This window comes from Homo sapiens, chromosome 9 (genome assembly GCF_000001405.40).
Source record: "Homo sapiens chromosome 9, GRCh38.p14 Primary Assembly".
NCBI lineage: Eukaryota > Metazoa > Chordata > Mammalia > Primates > Hominidae > Homo > Homo sapiens.
In genome coordinates this window covers 72497701-72506192 of record NC_000009.12, presented here as the reverse complement: position 1 = coordinate 72506192, position 8492 = coordinate 72497701, and positions in this window count along the sequence as shown.

The following is an 8492-nucleotide window of genomic DNA, read 5'->3' as shown; positions in this document are numbered from 1 at the left end:
CATATATCAAGAAATTTAAGGCCAGGCACATGCCTGCAATCCCAGCACTTTGGAAGGCCAAGGCAGGTGGATCGCTTGAGCTCAGGAGTTTGAAACCAGCAAGCAGCATGGCGAAACCCCCTCTCTACAAAAAAAAAAAAACACACACACACACAAAAATTAGCTGGCCGTGATGGCATGCACCTGTAGTCCCAGCTACTCAGGAGGCTGAGGTGAGAGGATCGCTTGAACATAAGACATGGAGGTTGCACCGAACCAAGATCGTGCCACTGCACTCCAGCCTGGGCAAGAGCCAGACCCTGTCTCAAAACAAATAAAAGAAAAAGAAATATACAGCTGTATGATACAGGAAGGGAGGTGAATAAAGTAAAAATACCCTTTACATTCATTAACCTATACTTTTAGGGGATACGTCAGGGGGACAATTCCCTCAGAATGTATTAATTTCCTACAGATTTCAGGTATACCAATGTCTTGAAAGAAAGAGCTGGCAGTACTCTGCAAATGTTGACATACTTTATGAGAAGTTCAGTCTCTTTGGGTTCAAACTCATAAAAATATCAATGTCGTCTGATGTTACTTCCTGGGCTAGAGAGATTCCTGATATGAGAAATTTTGATCACTCATAACTAAACAAAATTCCTAGATTTTTAAGATTTCCCCATTTATACTTAGACCCAATTTATAGTCAACAAACATTTATGAAGCACTAATTACTGCCATACCCTGTGCTTGAAACTAGAGGATACAGTAACATCATTTCTACTTTCAAAGAACTCAGTCCAGAGTAGGAAATGAATAAATAAACAAATGACTTTAATATAATATATTCAGATTATGATGAGGATAAGCAGAGTGTTATGGGGACCCAGTGAAAAGGCAAGTTGGTAGGTTTGGGGCACAGGGCTTAGAAAAGGCTTCTAACAGATTCACTGATAAAGCCAGAAGCAGGATTGATTTCTGACCATATGCAGCATCAAAGGAGAGTGCCCACATCTCAAAACCCAAAATCACTACAGAAGCAAAAACAAAACACACCAGCAAGACAAATGCTAGGTATTTTTCATTCAATAGGTACCCTGGGAATAGAACCAAGTTTATTGATGTTAAGCTATTTGATTAAACATACATCAACTCAATAACGCCAGTTTATTCAATATCACTTTAAAACATGTCCAGAGAGGGTTTGCAAAGGTGCTGGCAAGGAGGTGCTGTGGCAACAGGAGGTGAGAGGGGACTTTTTGGGTACACAGCTCTTCGTCAGTCGAAGGTCTGCTTCTCCACCCCTTTGTTTTTTTTCTGTATGCAAAACATGGAGCTCTTGTCCCCCTCTGATTTCCTCACAGGTACATATAGCCCTGTTGAGCTTTTGGGGTGCTACATCAAATCTTGGGTTCCCTCTTCAGCTTTATGCTCCAGTCATGGATTAGCCCATACCCACATGATTCAGGCTACTCCATTTCTTCCTTGATCACTCACACACTAGGAGCACAGGACAAAAGAGTGCTGCCCAGCTTCTCCCATCTCACCCTTACCCCACTCCTGCTCACAGGCCCCACAAGGCCACCTCGGGACATCAGATCCCAGCTGATGCCAAGTGGCCACAGATCATGTGTAACTGGGCATTTTACTCACAATCTCACACTTGAGAAATGCATCAATTTCTCAAATACTTCTGTGTGCATAGGAACATAACAACAAGTTGTTATCTACCAAGGTATTTCAAAGGAAGAAAATTTAAAACAGGCTTATAGGCAAACCCCTATGCTGAGAACAATATCTTGGATGTAGTACCTCCCTTAAAATGTTTCTTATTGATTTATGCAGACAAACAGTATCCTGCACAGTTTCTGGGCAACATAGACATGTTGACTACTTACAGACTTTTTTGTGCATAAATTTGGGTAGTTAAATTACAAAAAAGCATTGGGGAAGGCAGGCCACTGAGAATGAGAGTGGGAAATAGCGCACTGCTAGATGTGTTTTACATATATTCCTTCCATGCTGTTTTTCTCTGATTATTACAAGCAGGGAAAAATTAAATCTGTCACACTAGGTGCTTCGTTACCCAAGGGCAGAAAAGAGGTCTATGCATATTTGTCCAATACAAAATATGTTCCCAGGAACCTTCTATTTATTCATTCATGGACTTAGCAAGCATGTTCTCAACACCTCAGGTATATATTTGATACTAATTTGTTATTTCCAAGTTCCAAGAAAAAAAAAACAAGTTGCTTCAAAGAGAAGGAATAACTAATTAAATAACTATCAGTAATGACCGCAGACTTAATTACATAATATCTAAAAACTGCCATGCAAAATCAGAGCTCAATTTTAAAATAAGCATTATGAATCACATTGATGATTGGCATTAGAGAAACAATCACTCAGAGAAGTAGGGAAATCAGCTCTTCTCTTGGACTCGGGTTCAACCTGAATCCATGTTTACCAAGGCATTGACAAAAGTGAGGGATGATTTAATTTTTTTTTTTTTTTGAGACGGAGTCTTGCTCTGTTGCCCAGGCTAGAGTGCCGTAGCACAATCTCAGCTCACTGCAACCTCTGCCTCCCGAATTCAAGCAATTCTTCTGCCTCAGCCTCCCAAGTAGCTGGGATTACAGGCGCCCGCCACCGCACCCAGCTAATTTTTGTATTTTTAGTAGGGATGGGGTTTCACCATCCTGACCTCGTGATCCACCTGCCTCAGCCTCCCAAAGTGCTGGGATTACAGGCACGAGCCACCACGCCCAGCTAAAATATTTAATATTTTTAATGGAGGTTTCTGCTCAGTTTTTAGGATACATACACATGGTGGTGCACATACTGTAAACTGAGTGAAGCAAACAGAAGAACTATTCCATCTGGATAAATTAAGATGGGATAAGCCAGGTACAGTGGCTCATGCCTGTAATCCCATGACTTTGGGAGGCCAAAGCTGGCGGATCACTTGAGGTCAAGAGTTCGAGACCAGGCTGGCCAACATGGTTTAACCACATCTCTACTAAAAGTACAAAACTTAACAGGGCCTGGTGGCATGCACCTGTGGTCCCAGCTACTCAGGAAGTTGAGGCACGAGAATTGCTTGAACCCAGGAGACAGAGATTGCAGTGAGCCGAGATCAAGATTGTGTCACTCTACTCCAGCCTGGGTGACAGAGTGAGACTCCATCTCAAAAAAAAAAAAAGACAGAAAGAAAGAAAGGATAGGCAGGTGCTAGTAGCCTAAGAAGCTACATCCCTAAGATGATGAGAGGGTAAACACCACAGAAAAGGCCTGATTCGTAACACGAAGTCTGACCAAAAGTAAAAGGACTCGCCTTACCTTTCCATCAGCAAAGCAAAAGCTGCAGCCATAACAGGTGCAATGGGTACTTCCCAATCACTTGTCCCAGTTTTCCCTGTCTGGAGAAAGAATCAACCTCTTGTTTTTTGTTGAAGAGAGTAGTATTTCTACACTTGAAGTCTAATTTTGCTGTCAGCAAGAAGGGATGTGACTATTTTATAGTCAGAAATAATATCTCAGAGTTTATGGGTACTCTGTTAAGGGGGTAGATTCATGAAGAGCTCCTGGGATGAAGTCAGATGATACTTAGTTAATATCAAGTCTGACATAGCTGGGAGAATACAAATAATCTCCTTTACTTCTCTGAGCCTCAGTTTCCTCCTCTCTGTAAGAAGGCATTTAAATAACAGAATAATAAAGATGTTTAGCTGTGGAGTCAGACAGATCTAGGTCCTAGCCCTGGTTCTGCCACTTGCTAGTCGGATATTCTTGGATGAGTTATTTAACCTCCCTGAGTCTTATTTTACTGATATGTATCATAGGGACAAAAATTAAAGCACCCTCTTCAAAGTATCTTTCAATAAGAAAGGCATTATTGGCTGGGCACGGTGGCTCACACCTGTAATCCCAGGAATTTGGGAGGCCAAGGCGGGTGGATCACGTGAGGTCAGAAGTTCGAGACCAACCTGGCCAACATGGCACAACCCTGTCTCTACTAAAAATACAAAAAATTATCTGGGTATGGTGGCACATGCCTGTAATACCAGCTACTTGGGAGGCTGAGGCAGAAGAATTGCTTGAACCAGGAGACGGAGGTTGCAGTAAGCTGAGATCGCGCCACTGCACTCCAGCATGGGCAACAAGAGTGAAACTGTCTCAAAAAAGAAAGAAAGAAAGAGAGAGAGAGAGAAAGAAAGAAAGAATGAAAGATAGATTACTATTGTAAGCATTAAGCATTATAAATCTACATATGACGCTTAGTATAGCGCCAGGCTCAGAATCAGCAAGATAGGCCAGGTGTGGTGGCTCGCGCCTGTAATCCCAGCAGTTTGGGAGGCCAAGGTGGGTGGATCACCTGAGGTCGGGAGTTCAAAACCAGCCTGGCCAGCAAGGTGAAACCCCCTCTCTACGAAAAACACAAAAATTAGCCGGGCGCGGTGGCAGGTGCCTGTAATCCCAGCTACTTGGGAAGCTGAGGCAGGAGAATTGCTTGAACCTGGGAGGTTGAGGTTGCAGTGAGCTGAGATCGCACCATTGCACTCCAGCCTGGACAACACAGAGAGACCCTGTCTCAAAAAAAAAATAAGAATCAGCAAGATAATTATCCTTCCTGCTCCCACAACACTACTGCTATCTTACTACACTTCTACTCCTACCTTACGTCACTACTACCACCTTCTCACACTAATATTACCATACTACACTACTGCTACCTTACTACACCTCTACTACTCTTACTATACTTACACTACCTCCTACTATACCACTACTATTATCTTATGACATAACTACTGTCATGCCCACTACTACTACCTTACTACACTAATACTCCCTTACTACACTTCTACTAGCTTACTTCATGACTATTACTTCCTTATCACACTACTACTATCATACCACATGACTACTACCATGCTACATTTTTACTTTTTTTTTTTTTTTGAGACAGAGTCTCGCTCTGTCGCTCAGGCTGGAGTACACTGGCATTATTTCAGCAACCTCCATCTCCTGGGTTCAAGTGATTCTCCTGCCTCAGCCTCCCGAGTAGCTGATATTAGAGGTACGCCCCACCATGCCCAGCTAATTTTCATATTTTTAGTAGAGACGGGGTTTCACCATGTTGGCCAGGCTGGTCTTGAACTCCTGACCTCAAGCAATCCACCCACCTCGGCTGGGATTACAGGTGTGAGCCACCGCGCCAGTCCCATTTTTACTATTCTTAATACACTTCTACTACTACCTAACTACCCTATTGCTATTATCCTGTAACACTACTACTACCATACCACACTGCTACTACCTCACTACATCTTTATTACTGTTTTACCAGACTTCCACTGCTACCTTACTACATTACTACCTTAAGATACTACAGCCATAGCTACAGTGCTACCTACTGTAACCACCGTATTATGCAAAATGTGTATTAGTTTTCCAGGGCTGCCGCAACAAAATATCACAGATTGGGTGGCTTAAACAACAGAAGTTTATTTTCTCACAGTTCTGGAAGCTGCCTGAGATCAAGGTATAAGCAGGTTTGGTTTCTTCTCCCATCTCCTTGGCTTGATGATGGTTGTCTTCTCACTGTGTCCTCACTTGGTCAGGATCCTCCAGAGAAATAGAGCCAATAGGATGAGCATATATACAGAAAGAGATTTATTTAAAGGAATTGGCTCATGCAGTTGTGGAGGCTTGGCAAGTCCAAAATCTAATGGTGAAGGCCAGCAGCCTGGAGACTCAGGAAAGAGTTGCATTTCTAGTCCAAAGGCAGTCTGCTGATGAACCAAGAAGAGTTAATGTTGCAGTTGAAATCCAAAGGCAGTTGGCTGGCAGAATTTCTTCTTGCTTGGGAAAAGTCAGCTTTTTGTTCCTTTTATTTTTATTTTTATTTTTTTGAGACCAAGTCTCGCTCTGTCACCCAGGCTAGAGTGCAGTCACAATCTGAGCTCACTGCAACCTTCACCTCCCGGGTTCATGCCAGTATCCTGCCTCCACCTCCCAAGTAGCTGGGATTACAGGCATGTGCCACCACACAGGGCTAACCTTTGTATTTTTAGTAGAGATGGGGTTTCACCGTGTTGGCCAGGATGGTCTCGAACTCCCGACCTCAGGTGATCCACCTGCCTCAGCCTCCCAAAGTGCTGGGATTACAGGCATGAGCCACTGTGCCCGGCCAGCATTTTGTTCTATTCAGGCCTTCAACTGATTGAATGAGGCCCACCCATGTTATGGAGGGTAATCTGCTTAACTCAAAATTCACCCATTTGAATGTAAATCTCATCTAAAAATATTCTCACAGAAAAACCCAGATGAATATTTCACCAAATATCTGGGCATCATGGCTCAGCCAAATTGACTGATAAAATTAGCCATCACACATGGTCTTTCCTCTGTACACCTGCATCCTGGTGTCTCTCTGTGTGTCCACATTTTCTTTTTTTCTTTTTTTTTGAGATGGAGTTTCGCTCTTTCACACAGGCTGGAGTGCAGTGGCTCAATCTCAGCTCACTGCAACCTCTGCCTTCCGTTTTCAAGAGAGTCTCCTGCCTCAGCCTCCTGAGTTGCTGGGATTACAGGTGCCCGCCACCATGCCCATTTAATTTTTGTATTTTTAGTAGAGACGGGGTTTCACCATGTTGGCCAGACTGGTCTCAAACTCCTGACCTTGTGATCTGCTGGCCTCAGCCTCCCAAAGTGCTGGGACTACAGGCGTGAGCCACCGCACCTGGCCAAATTTTCTCTTTTTATAAGGAAACCAGTCAGATTGGATTAGAGCCCACTCTAACGGCCTCATTTTAACTTAGTCACCCTTAAAGGCCTTTTCTCCAAATACAATCACATACTGAGGCATTAGGGCTACAACATATGAATTTTGGGAGGAAATAATGGAACCCATAACACTGACTTCTACTACACTCTACTAGCACTACTTTCTCACTACTACCATTGCACTGTACTACCGTTACTACTACTACTCATCATCTTTCTATTACTAATACTTCCATAAAGTTCCTTCAAGTTGCAATTTCCTGTGTTTCTACAAAATAGATTGTATACAGTTGGCACCATAAAGCTCGGAGTTTCTTTTTTTATTTCTTTTATTATTTTTAAAATATTTATTTATTTATTTATTTTTGTTAAGACAGAGTTTCGTTCTTCTTGCCTAGGCTGGAGTGCAATGGCGTGAACTTGGCTCACTGCCACCTCTGCCTCTCAGGTTCAAGCAATTCTCCTGCCTCAGACTCCCGAGTAGCTGGGATTACAGGCACCCACCACCACATCTAGCTAATTTTTTGTATTTTTAGTAGAGACGGGGTTTCACCATGTTGGTCAGGCTGGTCTCCAACTCCTGACCTCAGGTGAACCACCTACCTCAGCCTCCCAAAGTGCTGGGATTACAGGCGTGAGCCACCTCGCCTGTCCAAAGCTCGGAGTTTCTACCAAGATTGAATGCAGGTTCAGCCAGAGAGTTAGTTCATGGAACACAATTTAGATCACCATTGGACAATATTTCAGGATACAGGAATTTTGGTCAAGGAGGAAATGCCCAACTATAAAGAACTTAGGCCAGGAGGATGGAAAAACTAAGACAACCTACCTAAGAGGAGTTTCAATCTGTAAATGGTTACCAATAAGTGACTTTTCTTGGCCATAGAGCTCAAACATTCTGGAACAAAAGACTCAGCGGCAGTTTTGGTTAGATGTCACGAGGGGTTCATCACTTGAGTGGCTGGTCTGGTTTTCCTCAATAGTAAGAACCTAAGGAATGTTTACCTTTTATTCCTCTTCCAAGCATTAATTATATACTTTTATTTATCAATTTTATGGTAATCCCCAGACAATAATTGAGAAATATTGCCAATGAAGGACTAAGTGGTGAATGAGTGGAAAATACTCTACACATACATACACATTTATACTCATAGGGATTAACAGGCCAGCAAATGATGGCTTTTCTCAGTTTCTTTTTATATTCCATGCAAGTTAAAGTGTACAAAGACAATGAAATTCCCAAAGATGGTGGCGGAGTCATTCTTAAATTTGTGGTTCTCACTGTGCCTTTTTCAGTGCCTTTTACATCATCTTTGTTCAGGAAATATTTGCTGAGTTTAGTAAAGGGCAGATTCCCCAAATTCTGACGATACTAGCTGCACTGCTGCTCTGTTTCTCATTCAAATATATGTATCAAGTTCAGCTACCCTGCCAGCCATCGAACAAAACAAACTCACAACGTGTATGTACCTGAAGACTGAGAGTCTGTAACACGGTGTAAGCAGTTCAAGTAAATCTGACAGTCATTTATTCAGCCTACACTATGTGTAAAGCGCTGCAGGGCTGCTCATCCATTAAGGCAGACAGAGTGTGTACATAAATATCCATAATTCAAGGCAATTTTCTCTATTAATAGAGAAATAAATAATGTACTGGGATGTGGAACATGGCAGAGACAAGGCAGGAAACTGAAACTAGTGCCAGATTGTGGAGCAGTT